Source organism: Homo sapiens, chromosome 5 (genome assembly GCF_000001405.40).
Source record: "Homo sapiens chromosome 5, GRCh38.p14 Primary Assembly".
NCBI lineage: Eukaryota > Metazoa > Chordata > Mammalia > Primates > Hominidae > Homo > Homo sapiens.
This window is the reverse complement of record NC_000005.10, coordinates 151575409-151590569: the sequence shown is the minus strand read 5'-3', so window position 1 is coordinate 151590569 and position 15161 is coordinate 151575409. Positions and strand designations below refer to the sequence as shown.

Genomic DNA, 15161 nt, shown 5'->3' with positions numbered 1-15161 from the left:
AGGGCTGTGAAAGACCATGAGTCTGAGTGGCACCAAGACAGCACTGGAGTTGTTGGGGTGGGAACAGCCCTGTTCCCCTGTCTTGGGGAAAGCAGAAATCTGATGCATATCTCTGGAGGCAGGAGAGCCAGAGTGGAACGCTGAGCAGAGCCACTGGGCTAGAGTTCAGTTCTCAGAGCCGGTGCAGTGCCATTTGCCCCAGCATGGGGAGCAGTGAGGCAGTGCAGAAGTTTGCCAAGGGCTCAGAAATGCTGCCTCTGTGCCCAGCCTCAATCTGGAGCTGGCGCCTGGACTCAGGGGAGAGGAGGAGGTGAAGAAGCAGGCTGGGAAGTAGGTGCTTCTAGTCCTTCAGCCCTGCTTCACAGGTGGGAGCAGAGACTGGACAGGTGAACATGCCTTGCTACTAAGAGTTATTACAGCTTATGCTCGTTGAATGCTTCCTGTGCCCTGGGGACTATGCTGAGCACGCATGGTCTTTTGAAATTTTTGAGGTTTCAAATCCAGGCAGTGTGGCAGAGTGGGAAGAGAATTTCATTAATCATGTCTCTGTGACTCACAGGCTGTGTGGCCTAGGACGGTTTCTTACCTCTCTGGGCCTATGTCTGAACATATAAAATAAAGGCAGTTGGATGTTTGTTAAGATCCTCTCCTCCCTTTATTAAATATTTATTTATTTTGAGACAGGGTCTCTCTCTGTCACCCAGGCTGGAATGCAGTGGCATTATCATGCAGCTTCCACCTCCTGGGCCCAAGCAATCCTCCCACATCAGCCTCCTGGGTAGCTAGGACCACAGACAAACACCACCACACCTGGCTAATTAAAAAAAATGTTTTTTTGTAGAGATGGGGTCTCACTATGTTGCTCAGGTTGGTCTTGAACTCTTGGGCTCAAGCAATTTTTCCACCTTGGCCCCCTAAAGTGCTGGGGTTACAGGCATGAGCCACCACACCTGGCCAAGATCCCTTCTGAATCCATTCTGTTGGGTAGACAGAGCAGGAGTGATTGTCTCCATCTTGCTGATGAAGAACCTTGAGAGGCTCAATGTTCCATGTCCCTGTAAGAGGCAAACTAGGGTCTTCCCCCAGGGCTCTCGATAGAGTACATGTTAGACTTCTGGCAGGAAGATACTGAATCCATGATGTCAGCTAGCCTGATGCTCAGCTTCCTGCATACTCTAACCTAAGTGCGACTGAACTCACCTTGGCCTGTAAGTTCTCCTTCCAGATGCTTTATGACAGGCTGTGTGGCACTGGCCTGGTGCTGGCCAGTTAAGGCCAGGTGGGAGAGGCTGTCAGGCAGGCATTAAGTTTTAGAGACAGCCTGTGTGTGTCTGGGGGGAGATGGAGTTGGTACGGTTGGGGACATGCCTGTACCCCCTGGATAAACCCTGTCTTTTGGATTCATTTTGAGTGGGGAAGGACATGACCTCTAAAAGCCTCCTATGATCCCTGAGCCCCTAGAATGCAAACTGAGCTAGCTCAGAGCCTCAATACTAGTATTTCTAGGACTAATAGTACTAACACTCACATTTATGATGGAGGTTTATAGACAGGTTTACAAAGTAAAGTGTGGGTCCAACTCCCGGATATTATTAGCCATGTGACCTGGGCCTCAACTTCTCTAAAAACCTCAGGCTCCTCATTTGAAAGATGGGGATCATCATAGTTCTTTCTTCAGAGAATTGATGTGAGAAATGAGGGGGTGCATGGAAGGTAATGCAAGAAATGTGTAGGGCCTTATTTATTATGTTCACAGTCATCAAATAATTGATTCTTCTCTCTTCCTCCTAGAGTGGGTATCATCTCACAGCACCTTGAAGTGTTCCTCCCTAAGACTGGTCATAATTATAATTATTAATTATTTGTGTGACTTATTTTATATTGGCTCTCCTACTAAGATAAGCCATGGGTCTGTCTTGCTCACTGCCCTGGCGCCTGGGTCCAGGACAGTGCCTGGCACAGAAAAGAAGCTCATTGCCTATCTGCTGAATGAATGAATGAATCTTCATTTTGAATTCATAGATGAGAACTGCTGCTTACTGGAGGACTAAGTATTAGCCCCAACCCATTCATAGATACAGTCCAGTGGAAGGGCGCTTAGAGATCACTGAGTCAGACAGTTGGTAACGGTGAGGCCTCACCAGGGAAGTCTGGTAACTTGACTAAGGTCACACAGCAGTGGGGAAAACCAGACCACTATGCAGAACTTGGACTTGCCTCTGTTTCACTTGCCTAGCCCAGTTCAGGAGATGTTCCTGTTTTTTATGTAAGTGGCAGATCAGTCTTGAAGGCCAGTTGGCTCCCACATCCTCCAGAGGCAATGTGGGATCAGCAATGAGGTTGATCTCTGGATTGTAAGCTGCCCTCCAGGGGACAAAAACATCATCAATCAGACTCCTCTCTCTCAACATGCACCAACACACACATACACCCACACACACATACACACACACCACTCCATCACTATTGCCAGTGAGTCAACAGATAGCTGTAACTGTACAACTCGAAGAACCCTTGGGAATTCTCTGAAGTCTCCCTTGAAGAATCATTGCTCCCATTTTACAGATGTCACACAGCCAGTTTGCCTGGGTTGGCACGCACTCAACAGTGAGCTATTTGTGAGAATTCGCAATGACTTAGACCCTGTATGTGCAGGTCACCAGGTTAGGCCCTTTTACAAACTCCTTCTCTTCTACTCTGCACAACTGCCCACATCACCCTCTACTGCTTCTTGTTGTTGTCATTGTTTTCAGTGTGGAGACCATGAATAGAGACTCAGAAAGGTTAAGCTAATCCCTGTAAGTCACACGGTTCTGTTATCTTAATAGACACTTAATGAGCAGTTATAATGTGTCAGGCCCCCAAAGACTCACAGTTGATAGAGGCAGACCCATAAATGGGTGGTTTAATATCTTGGGGTAGGTGGTAAAACACAGGCAAACCCAGGCTGGCATGGAGACCCAGAGGAGGAGTGACAGTAGCTGGGTTATAGATTCAATGAAGCTCTTGGAGGAGTTGGCACTGAACATCAGTTTTAAAGGCTGAATGAGAGTTAAATAAGGAAAGAAAAGTGGGAAAGGCATTTAACAGAGGGAAAATAACACATGCAAAGGCCCCGCAGTTAAAGAAAACAGCAGATGCGTGCAGGAACCTATAAATTGGGTGGGGAACACCTGGAGACATGGTCTGAGAGATAGGTTGGGGCCAGATCATTGAAGGCCCCAGCCTACCTCTTTTTTGTATGTGTCAGGCCAAGGAGCATGTCATTTTCAAAAAAATGTCACATATATATAATGTACTATTGAAGGAAAATTATAGACATACACAGAAGTAAACAGAATGGTGCAAAGAAGCCCTATCACTCAGCTTCAACAATTATGTTGGGTTTTTTTGTTTTTTTTTTGTTTTGTTTTGTTTTTTGTTTTTTTGAGACGGAGCCTCATTCTGTTGCCCAGGTTGGAGAGCAGTGACATGATCTTGGCTTACTGCAACCTCCACCTCCTGGGCTCAAGTGATTCTCATGCCTCAGCCTCCTATGTAGCTGGGACTACAGGCGTGTGACATCACACCCAGCTAATTTTTGTATTTGTAGTAGAGACAGGGTTTCACCATGTTGCCCCAGGCTGGTCTTGAACTCCTGACCTCAAGTGATCTGCCTGCCTCGACCTCCCAAAGTGCTGGGATTACAAGCGTGGGCCACTGCGCCCAGCCTGAGCCACTGTGCCTGGTCAACAATTATATTTCCTCTATACTTCTACCAACTCTTCCCCTATCAGATTATCTTGAAGCAAAAATCCCAGATATATGATTGCACCTGAAAATATTTCCATATATCTCTTTAAAACAGAAAGAATTCAGAAAGTATTTTTAGGAGCATGGCTTTTATTTTATAAACATTGGAGGACTGTTAAAGGAGTTTAAGTTAGAGTGCTTTGGCTAGGTAGACCTACCTGCCCGTGAGGTAGAACACCAATTTAAGGAAAGGAGTCAGATTAGAAGGCTAAGATATCCTGTTTTCTCCCCCTTGGCCGACCACAGTGCCTGATATTCCACCACTACCCATTGATTAACAAATTATCTTCTGAAATCCATCTCTTCCTGAAAGGGGCGATGTCATAAGCATTTTCCAGTGTAGGTCTGCAAAAGACAGAAATCTTCCCTTGCCCCTTTTTCTGTTCCTGGGCGGCCCCTGCAAGACCACCTGAGGCAACAGGAAAATGCCATCTATCCTTCCGCTGGCTGGGGGCAGGGAGCTCACAGAGGAGAATTCTCTGGTTCCCATTTGGCTCCAGTGCCCGCAGCAGTTGGCCTGGGCACAAGCCAAGCAGGATGAAACACGCCAGTGGTACAGTAACGTCAGCATGTGTGCACGTGTTGGCCTGCATGTGCTCACGTGTCCAGTGTCAGAGCTGCTGCCTGTCCCTGCAGCATCCTCTCCCCTCAGGGTCTTCCCATCAAATGCAAGGCTCAATGGTGCCAAACGTATCATTTTGGACCCTTGGAAGCTTAGCCTGAGGAAGCGGTAGAGATGGCTATCAGTATGGCACGTGAGCTCTGGAGTCGGGGTGCTTGAGTTCCAGTCCTGGCCTTAACACTTTCCATCTCTGTTACCTTAACACATGATTCCACCTTTCTGAGAGTTGTATAATGCTACCTATCACACAGAGCTGCTGAGAGTTGATGTGTGTAGAGTGTTTAGCATAGTCGGCACAAGCTAAGAGCTCTCTAAATGTTAGTTACTATTATAGATTTGGGGGCTCCTGAAGTCTTGGGAATTGACTCAGAGAATTATAGCATCTTGAAAAATTCCTAGAAGCTCAAACTCTTGGAAGCATATATTAGAGAACCCTATCAGATCCCTGGTACACTCTCTACTCTGTCCTGGTAGTGTCTGACAAATTCAAAAACAGAGTGCATAAATTGTAAGTTACAGCTGATATATATATATTTTTTTCCTTGAGACAGAATCTTGCTCTGTTGCCCAGGCTGGAGTGCAATGATGCAAACTCAGCTCATTGCAAACTCCACTTCCCGGATTCAAGTGATTCTCCTGACTCAGCCTCCAGAGTAGCTGGGATTACAGGCATGTGCCACCACGCCCAGCTAATTTTGTATTTTTAGCAGAGATGGGGTTTCACCATGTTGGTCGGGCTGGTCTCGAACTCCTGACCTCAAGTGATCCAACCTGCCTTGGCCTCCCAAAGTGCTGGGATTATAGGCATGAGCCTGGCCACAGCTGATAAATTTTTATAAAGTGAACTCGAATGGTGGCTAACCAGTAACTGGCACAAAAAGCAGACATTCCCAGCCCCCTGAGATCCCCCTGGTGCCCGTTGCCAGTCACTGGCCCCTGCTGAGTGACTCTTATTCAGATGGCCAGGCTATTCTTAATGCCTCTGAGGATAGCCACATCACTCCTTCTTTAGGGGCTATTTACTATTGTTAGGAGAACTCCAATTATTAGAGAGGTCCAGCGAGTTAATTTGGAAGTTGCTAAATTAAACTTTACCTTAAATTATTTCATTTTTACTGTCATATTTCAGGGGCAGCCTAATTTAGAGGCAAGTTTCCCAAATGTCTGGGGCTGTTTTTTAAAAAATACAAATTACTTAGCCCCATCCTAAGTCTACAAAATTAGATGGAGGAGTGTGAGGGTGAAGGACAGGAATCTATATATATTTTTTAAGCTCCAAGGGGGCTCAAGGTGAGGTCTAACTGGACTTGGTAGCCATTGGACTAGTGGTTCAGAGTTTGGACTCAAGTCAGATAGATCATTTGTTCCAATCCGTGCTCCACACTGACTGGCCATTGACCTTGGACAAGGCACGTGGCCTTTCTGACCCTCAGTTTTTTCATTTGTAAAATGGAGATAGATGAAAGGATAGTACCTGCCTTTGTGGGTTGCTGAAAGACACTGAGACATCCACAGCACAAGCGCTCACTAAGTGCTAGGTGCTATAATCAACGTTACTATTATACTGGGCAGAGACCGTATGCGGTGCAGCCAAGGGAGTACTAAATCTGGCATCTGAAGTTTTGTGTTTGAGTCTTGACCGGGCCACTTGCTAGCGGTATGACCTTGGACAAGTCTTTTGAGCCCCCATCTCCTGGCCTTGACTTGCTTCCTTCATAGGGTCTTTGAAGGAATTAAATAAGAAAACGGACCAGAATATTGCTCCAAGAACAGAAAAATGCTGCAGGAAGTAAGCCCCAATGAGCTGGAACCCAGCTAAGCCTGGGAACCCTGTGGAAAGTGGGCTTGCCATTGTCCTCGCGGTTCTGTGTGGGCAGGCCGGGCAGGGGAGGGTAAAGGGAATCATTGAGGTGTCGGTTTTCCACAGCCCTGGTATGCCCTGGCATGGTTCCTGAGCTTCTTGGTTTCTGAGAACTGTCTCCTTCCTGGTTCCTAGGGCAGGAAGGGTCCAAGATCCCATAGCTGTGAAATCCTATGCAATTTGCAGGTAGTCCAAACGCTTTTATTATTTTAATGTCTTCTTTTTTAATTAAAGTCTTCTTTGAAGTCCTTTACTAGTGTTTAAAAAAAACTTTTTTTTTTTTTTTTTTTTTTTTTTGAGACAGAGCCTCACTCCGTCACCCAGGCTGGAGTGCAGTGGTGCAATCTCAGCTCACTGCAACCTCTGCCTCCGAGGCCCAAGTGATTCTTGTGCCTCAATCTCCCAAGTAGCTGGGATTACATGTGTGTGTCATCGCACCCAGCTAATTTTTTTATTTTTACTAGAGATGGGGTTTCCCCATGTTGGCCAGGCTGGTCTTGAACTCCTGACCTCAAGTGATCCACCCAACTCGGCTTCCCAAAGTGTTGGGATTACTGGCGCAAGCAACCATGCCTGGCCCCTAAAAAAAGAACTTTTTAATGGAGTATAATATGCATACAGAAAAGTGCACAAATCATAAGTGTACAGCTCAATGAATTTTCCAGAAACTAACCAGCTCCCAGATTAATAAATAGAATATTACTACTATTCCAGAAACCCTCTTTGTACCCTTTTCAGTCACTCACCACTTCCCTCCCATGTAAGAGTGACACTATCTTAATCTAATCTATAGATTTGTTTTGCCTGTTTTTAAACTTTATAAACATGGACTACCACAGTATGTACTTTTTAATATATGACTTCTTTTGCCCCGTATTATGTGAATAGGATTCATCTCTATTGTCACCTAGAACAATAGTTCATTTGCTTTGCTGTATAGTATTCCATTATATGACCATACTGAAATATACTTGTCCATTCTGCTCTTGATAGCCATTTGGTTTGTTTCCAATTTGGGGCTGCTATAACTAGTGCTGCTTTGAATAGTCTTGTGATGAATCTTTTGGTGAACATATGTTCACACTTATGTTGACCTAGGAGTGGAACCGCTGGGTCATGAGGTGTGCATATATGAATGGAACTCTCTTATTTTCAGGTTAAGTTCTATTTATTACAAGTAGAACATGGCTTCCCAGGGTTCAGTCTCTATCTAGGAGATAGAAAGACCTCAGGAAGATGAACAGCTGCCTCTGGGGTTGGAGATGCTGATGAACAGAGGCGTGTGCAGACAGTGATATGTGTAGGCTCAGAGACTTCCAGGTGATAAAGTTAGGCATGAAGCTCAGATCTGTTGCTTTCCCTCTCCCGTCTGCTCTTCTGTTTGACTTTAGCAGTAATGTTGTGTCCACTTTGCTTGAGGGCCAGTGTTCCCCCCACCAACAGTCAGCAGACCACCTACAGAGGAAATATGAGTCCCACTTTGAGTTCCACAGCAGTCCTCCTGAAACAGGCTTTTTGAGGAAGAGGTTGCGATTTTTAACACAGTGACGTTTGAGAATCACTTCTCTAGCCTGAACACTTTCTAAAGACTGCAGTCTTTTCCTGATGTCCTCCATCCCCTCTCCATCAGGGCGTAGGATCAGGCCACATTTGGGATATCAACTTTGAAAGGGGGCATGGTAGAGAGTATGATCCTAAAGAAAGAGATGGTTCCCTTGTTCAGCAGATCTCAAACACCAGTCACACCAAAATCACCCAGGGAACTTGTTGAACATCTATTTCTGAGCCCCACCCCTAAGGATTTTGATTCAGTAGCTCTGGGGTAGGGCTGGGAATATATATATTTTTAACCCTCACCCCCATCCCCTCAGGGAATTCCTAATGGTGGGAATCACCAGTTCAATCCACCGGCCAGCTTTGCGGATGAGAACACAGACAGACCCAGCCACTCTGTTGAGTTTTGTGTCTGCTGATGGCTGGGTGGAGCAGTTACCTTGGCTAAGAAAAGTCGGTGTGTGTGGACAGAACCCAGGGGGGCTTGAATGTTGAACACAGGGACTTGGCCTGCAGCCCACCGGCAGAGGCTCATTTGCATCTCATTAGTATGCACCTTGGGTTACTCAGGGTGCTCCCAAATCATCTCTGACCTCTCTCGTGCCTTGGCTCTGCAGTCAGGTTCAGCCAGCTCAGCAGCAGGACTGGGTGCCTCAGACAGCAGAAAGCCTGTCTTGCCCCACTGCCAGAGCGCAGCTCCCACCTGCAGCAACCTGCCTGCCTGCCTGGCTTTGTCCTAAGCTGTTCTACTCAGAGGGGAGAGGACAGACAGATGGCTGGGCTGGGCTGGGCTGGGCCAGGCTAGAGGAAATGGGAATGAGAGGGAAGACTGGAAATGAAACCTATGCTGAGAATCTGTGTTTGCTGGCAGGAGAGGATCTGAGGTTATGTGATCCCTGATATGGGGGAGGGATCATATGATCCTCCCCCTTCACAATTGCTCTTTCTAACCCATGGGCATGGGGAGCGGGCCAGGGGGACTGTTGGACACACAGGTGATCTGAGTTTTATCCTGGCTTGGCCCATACTAGCTGTGTGATCTCAGGAGTTAAATAACCTCTCTGAGTCTCAGTTATCTCATCTACAAAATGAGGATAATTATAAGGTTGCTGTAAGCTAGCTTAAAAGAGATAATGCCTGCCAAGTGCTCACCACAGGGCCTGGCACCCAATAAATGTTCAATAAATGTCAGCTGTGAGCAGCTGCATGCGCCTCTGCAAGCACTCCGTAGTTCCAAACCTCACCATCTTCAGGGCCTCTAGCGATAGCTCAGCAGAGGGTTAGCTCAGGGAGGTAGGAAAGCAGGGACTAGTCTCCATGAAATGAGGGAATTTGCTCAGGGCTCTCTCCCTGGGCCCCCTGCTTGGCCCTCCGATATAATACCAAAGGAGTAGGGGCTGAGGTCCCTGGATTGTCATCTTCATCACAGCAGCTACCTCAAGGGGGCTCACATGCAAGGCACTGTGCCCACCGCTTTATGCCCTTCATCTCAGTTCTGATCCTCATAATACCCTGATGATTATGTTTCCTCGTTTATGTCTGAAGAGACCGAGCCTCTGTCAGGTCCCATGATTTGCTCAAAATCACACACAACCAGCAGTGGGCCCGGGGCAGGACTCCAACACAGGTAGCCCCTCTCCAGAACCTGAGTGTGTGGCCTGACTGTAGCGACTCCACCTCCTGGAGGTGCCTGAGTTACAGGCAGAACCTGGTTGGGAGTGGCCACGTGAGACTGATGGGCTCACGGAAGGGAACAAGGAGAAGCTTCTGTTTCAGCAGTTAAGAGGAACAGTATTCCTTTTGCTGTTGGCCACAGGGCCTGCTGGATCCTTGGAAGGCCATTTATTGTGTCTTGGATAGAGACAGGGAAGGGGCCCAGAGTGGTCACCCCAACATGTCAGTGGCAGAACATAAAAGATCGGGAGATGTATGTTTTTATAGAATGTGCAGGACATTTTCTACCTGGTGTTTTCACTGTCAATACTCTTCTGACCACTTCACACCCACCCTCTGCCCCCTCTTCAACTCTGAAGAAGATCACATCTGTTATTATTTTAATGCTGCTCAACTTGCTGCTTGAGCTTTGCTGCAAATCACTGCAAAGAGAGAAGGAACGTCACAAAGACCCGTGTGTGTGTGTGCGAGCACGCGTGTGTGTTAAGGGACCCTCCCACAAGGGGCTCCTGGGGCCCGAATGAGAGTCCGCACATGTACAGAAAATAATTCCTACATTCTACACATATTTTTTGAGCACCTACTGCAATGGTAATAACAACCACCCATTAGCGACCTTCTGCCTGACTGGCGCTGTGCCAAATGTCATACATGCATGTGTTCATTAAATCCTCCAGGAAGGTAAGTGTTACCAGCCCCATTTCACAAATGGGGAAACTGAGGCTTAGATAGGCTCAGCTTTGCCCCTCAATGCAAGTGGAGGCAGTACTGAGGGCAGGTCTCACTCTGAAACCAGTTCTTTCTCCCTGCACTCTCCTCTTGACTAATGCAGAAGACCTTGGCCTTGTGGGTTCCTGAGGAGCCCCCAGGTTGACAGTGGAGCTGGGGTTGGGGGAACAGCATGGCCAGTGCCAAAATGCCAGGATGGGGAGCCAGGGTTCTGGTTCCAATTCTGCCACCAACATGCTATGCAACTTAAAGTGACCCCTTCCTTTTTCTGGGAATAGTTTTCTCATCTTTATTAAACAGAGCTTGGACTCATAGTAGTCTTCAAACTGTGCCCTAGGGAGTCCAGGGATTTCACTGACAAAGGGACAATGCATAGGGAATGGGGCTCTGGGGCTCCTCTCACATCTATTATAGCAGGTCTATTTCAATCTGCTTAACATAAGAAGAATGATAGTTATAAAATAACAACAGCTAGCATTTATTTAGCAACTACTAGGTGCCATGCATGTGCTGAATGTTTAACAGGCACCATCTAGTTCTACCTTCAGAACACTATCTGAGGTGGGTTCAGTTAGTATCTTTCTCTCTCTTTTTTTTTTTAAATGTATTTCCTTATTTATATTTTAAATTGACAAAATTTGTATATATTTATGGTGTGCAACATAATGTATTGATAATGTATGCATAGTGGAATGGCTAAATCAAGCCATTTAACACATCCATTAACTCATATGCCTTTTTAAAATTATTTATTTATTTATTTTTAGAGATAGGGTCTTGCTCTGTAACCCAGGCTGGAGTGCAGTGGTGTGATCATTGTTCACTGCAGCCTCAAACTCCTGGGCTCAAGCAATCCTCCCACCTCAGCCTCCTGAGTAGCTAGGATTACAGATGCAAATCACCACACCTGGCTAATTTTTAAATGTTTTGTAGAGATGGGATCTCGATATGTTGCCTAAGCTGGTCTCAAACTTCTGGCTTCAAGCAATCCTCCTGCCTTGGCCTCCCAAAGCTCTGGTATTACAGGCATGAGCCACCATGCCTGGCCCCTACATGCTTATTTTTTTGTGATGACAAAATTTCAAATGTATTCTCTTAGCAATTTTCAAGTACAATATACAATGCCTTTATTAATTATAGTTACCATGTTGTACAATAGATCTCTTGAACTTACTTGCCTTCCAACCAGAGAGCCCCAGAATTGGGGCTGGATTTGTTGATCCCTCAGAATTCCTATTTTGCCTCCCTCCTACCCCAAGCCCTGTGTTCCTGGTGTTCCCTCTGGCTTAAGAATTTTTCAACTCCAAATGGAAATTTTATATTCTTTGACCATCTTCCCAATCCCCACCCTCACCCCAGCCACTGGTAACCATCATTCTATTCACTGTTTCTATGAGTTTAACCTTTTTAGAGTTCACACAGAGTGAGTATATGTGGATTCTAAAAAAGTATTTGCAGTATTTGCCCTTATGTACTTGGTTTATTTCCCTTAACATAATGCCCTCCGGGTTCATATGCGCTGTCACAACTGACAAAATTTACCCACCTTTTAAGGCTGAATGACATTCTCTTGTGTATATAGGCCATATTTTCTTTATTCATTCATCTACTGATGGACATTTACGGTAATTCCATATCTTGGCTATTGTGAATAATGCAGTAAAGATGGGCGTGCAGGTATCTCTTTGACATACTGATTTCATTTCGTTTGGATATATACCCAGTGGTGGGATTGCTGGAGCATATGGTAGTTCTTTTTTTTATTTTTTGGGGAACCACCATACTGTTTTCCGTAATGGCTGTACTAATTTGCATTTCCACTGACAGTGTCTGATGGTTCCCTTTTCTCCACATCCTCTTCAACAGCTGTTATCTCTTGTCTTTTTGATAATAGTCATCCCAACATAATCTAATTGTGGCTTTAAGTATCTCCCTTTCAAAGGTGAAGAAAAACATAGGCTCAGAGATCAAGTTATTCAAGGTTGCCCCAGTTGGGACTTGAGGTCTGTGTTTGAAAACTCATCCTTTTGCAAAGGATTCCATTGGATCGAAGTGGCAAGAACCACAGGATAGTAAGCAACCCCACAAAACGAGGCCCATTCAGCAGGGACATTCTGGCCTTTGCATTTTGTTCTCTTCTCCATCTGAAAGAAGCTTTCTAGTCCTCCTGGAGAGTCTATCAGGGCACAACCTTCCTCACCTAGAACCTAGGGGAGGTTCCCCCGTTCCCCTGTTCTGCGTTTAGAGCTTCTAATGAATAAATACCAGGCAGTATTCTGCTAAGCTGGAGTTGGCTTTGATCTTTTTTTTTTTTTTTGCCTTTCCCTTTTCATGGATTTTAATGGTTTTCATCTAACAAACTCCTCCTACCAGAGAGCCCCAGAAGAAGTGGGGCTAGAGTTGTTGACCCCTCAGGATTCCTCCCTTCCCTCCCTGCCACCCCAGGCCCTCCAGTTCTGAGGTTCCCTCTGGCTTAGGGATTTTTCAGCTGCAAATGCAAAGCTCATAGATCCGTACAGACAACCCTAAGAGGAAGAGACCCCAGACACGCCTCTTCCTCTCTTTGGGCCTCATTGCGTATCAGGATCTGCAAACTTGAAAACCCACAGCAGCGTTTCCTTGCTGCCCATCTCAGGGCCTTTGCGTTGCCTGTTCTGTCTGGAACTCTCTTCCTGAAGATAGCTCTCTGGCTCTCTTCCTCACTCTGTTCACCTCCCTGCCCAAATGTCACCTTGTCATATAGGACTTCCCTGACTCCCCTTTAAAAAATAGCATCTCCCCTCCATGCTCTACCCCTTGCCCCACATAACGTTTCTTTATATCGCTTTTCATCACCTGACACAGTCAATATTTTCTTGTTTATTGTCTCTCTCTGCTACTAGAATACAGTACCCACAAGAGCAGAAACCTCATCTCTCTTGTTCTCTGCTCTAGATGCCTGGCACAGGGCAGGCCCTCAGTGAGTATTAAATGAATGAATGCCTTTGGCAGAGGAAGCTCAATAATAAAACACTTTCTTCACATCCCCAACTTTGTTCCTTTTCTTCCCCAAAGCCCAGGCCACTGGAAGCCCTTTTCTTCCTTCAAATATTCATTTCTCCAGGGTCATACTATGACTTTTGAGGGCTCTAAGCATTCTAGTCTTTGTGGGCCCCTTCTTCCATGAAACAATTATAAGTGATAATTATGAAGTCATAAATTAAAAATTATGTTCTATGACGGCATTGGTATAAAGATGCGTATACAGTCATGTAGCACATCATGACATTTTGGTCAGTGTGGGACTGCATATATGAGAGTGGTCTCATAAAATTATAATACCATACTTTTACTGTACCTTTTCTATGTTTAGATACACAAATACTTACCATTGTGTTACAATCACCTACAGTATTCAGTAGAGTAGGATACCGTACAGGTTTGTATCCTAGGAGCAATAGGCTGTACCACATAGCCTAGGTGTGTAGTAAGCGTCACCACCTAGGTTTGTGTAAGTGCACTCCATGATGTTTGCACAATAACAAACTTGTGCAAACTTCTCAAAAACCATGAATGACTCCCTACTACTAAGGAGAGAAATTATTTCAGTGGCTAAGACTTGACTAGCAGGTACCTAGAATGTCACCATTCTTTCACTTACAGTTTTCATTCTGGTTCAAATAATGACACATTTCTCAGAATGTATTCCCATCGTTAAGTGAGACATACCTGTGTTATTATATATATCCAAACTCTTCAACCTAAAAGTTTTTCTTTCTTTCGTATTTAAAATAAACTAAAACATTTATTATTGATTCAATTTTCAAATTTAAAAGGAAATTCTCAATAATTTATTGACCATAGTAACTTTCTACAGTAGTCCTCATTCCTGAAAAGATGTTTAAAAACCCAAAAACCTATAGTATAACTTAATTGATTTAAACTAGGGGTGAGTGAAAAGCTGTTTTTAAATGTTCTCCTGGTAATTCTAATATGCACGAATAGTTGAGGCCACTGTTCCAGATAATATATCCCAGTTTGCTCCCTCAGATCATTCCCTTCCTTCTCTAAGACATAATTTGAGGACATATTCATTCCAAAAGCTAACCATTTTAAAAATACCCCCTTGTTCCTATACCATACTGCTAAGTATACGTGAATTTTAGCTTTTTCCCTTCCATATCTTTCTAGCCCACATATTAAGATCTCAATTTTTCTTAAGAGATTCTCCCTTTTCATTCTGCTTTAATAGTATGTGTAGTCCTGGGTCCTGGGTGTGCCCACTCTGCCTTACAGATGAGTGGACCCAGCATTCTTCTCTGAATCTCATGAATCCTGTGGTTCCTATGCCGTGCTCTTTAGAGCTGGGCTGTCCGATGTGGTAGACACAAGTCACATGTGTCTTTTAAAATTTAAATGAATTAAAATAAGATAAAATGAAAAACTCAACTCCTCAATTGTACTAGCCGCATTTCAAGTGCTCAATAGCCAGCCATGCATGGCTCATGGCTCCCACCCTGGACAGCACAGAGACAGAACACTTCATCACTGCAGAAAGTTCTGCTGGAAAGCGCAGCTCTAGAGTGAACTCCAGCTACTCCAGGCCTCTGGGATGTCTCTCTTCCTAGAATATGGATCCTTATTCTGTGCTGGTGCTTGCATCCATCACCTACTAGACGAGTGAACCTGGGCACAGTCTTCAAATTATCCAAGCCTCAATTTCACAGTTACAGATTCAGAGTAATGAATGTCATAGGACAGATGATGATGGTACATCACTAACTGGTACTGAGTGTGTTCCAGTGCTAGGTATTTGCCGTACTTTACCTCATTCAGCCTTCTCAACAACTCCAGGAGGTGAGTACCATTATCTTCTCCCTTTGGCTGAAATCAGCAAGGTTAAATAACTACCCATGGCCACACAGTTGATAAACTGAGAGCTGGCATTTG

The 15161-nt window shown here is 45.1% G+C and overlaps 1 protein-coding gene across 8 annotated transcripts in view; it reads left to right on the top strand.

Annotated features, from left to right (window-relative positions):
• Positions 1–15161, top strand: part of FAT2 (FAT atypical cadherin 2) — a 90728-nt gene that overhangs the window by 4250 nt on the left and 71317 nt on the right. The window contains exon 1 of one of the 8 annotated variants that reach the window (XM_011537603.2): positions 944–1208. The exons of the other annotated variants lie outside the window; for them this stretch is intronic. The gene's annotated coding sequence lies outside the window, so the exon portion shown is untranslated. Of the gene's footprint in view, positions 1–943; positions 1209–15161 lie in introns of those variants that run through there. 8 annotated transcript variants of the gene reach the window in all.